A 1,050-nucleotide genomic window follows, 5' to 3' on the forward strand; every position below is an offset into this window, starting at 1 on the left:
TCATGTGTTGAAGAAGTCTTGCATTCTGGGATAAGTCTTATTTGGTCATTGTATATCTTCCTTTTTTTTTTTTCCCCAGCAGTTATGTGCTGGAAGGGGAAGTACTTTCCTTTTTATATGTTGTAAAATCCCATTGAGATGGAACGTACATTTATCATGATATTCCCCCCTTAAATAAAGTCTACTTTAACAAGTGCCATAAATATTTTCTTCTTTAAACAGCTATGGTGCCTGTGACTTGCGTAGAGTCAGAGTCGTCATCATTGTACCCCGACCTCTCATCCAGGGCCTTACATGTGTTCCTTTGAACCCTTTGTCTTCAATCCCCAGGGACTGGTCAGGAATCCGTTGGTGAGTCAGATTCCTGAACCATTGCTCTAGATGACAGTTCACTGAAGCTAAGGACAGATTTTGATTCTTAAGATTCTGAGTATACTGAAAAATCTGGATTAGAGTCTCAGAATAACAGAAGCTGAATTTGAGGCCCACGTTTCTTTGTTTGCAAGAAGTTGGGCTATGAGCAGCTGTTTATAAGAAACTAGGTTAGTCCCAGGTAAAAGGAGGTGGGTTAGAGCCCTAGACTTCTTTGTTTGAAAGATACCTGCTGGACTAGCAGTCTTTCTTCCTGTCTCTCTCTGTCTGGAGGGAGGATTGATCCCTGACTTCCTGGGTTGGTAGTTTTTCTTCCTGGCTCTCAGTCTTGAGTGGGAAATTTTTCTTGGCTCTTTGTGAGGCCTCTCCATTCTCTCTATTTTATCCTGTTTCTCTCATGGAAAATTCTCAGTTGGCTGAAACTCCCTTCTTGAACTCCTACTGACTATATGCTCTACCAATCTGTCCACCTCCTTCCTGTTGGCATAAATTTGCAGAGAATAATTTGGAACTTCATTGTCCTCTTTGGGAAACTTATGATCTCCCCAAACTGGCTTCTGTAAGGCCTCTCCCTTCCCATTCCTCCTTTGTTCTTTAACCACTTTTGATCTTCCCTTCAGCGACCTTGAAGCCTTTGATATATCCCCCTTTTAACTCTACCACCTTCATCCCTCTGTT

Source organism: Homo sapiens, chromosome 12, assembly GCF_000001405.40.
Source record: "Homo sapiens chromosome 12, GRCh38.p14 Primary Assembly".
NCBI lineage: Eukaryota > Metazoa > Chordata > Mammalia > Primates > Hominidae > Homo > Homo sapiens.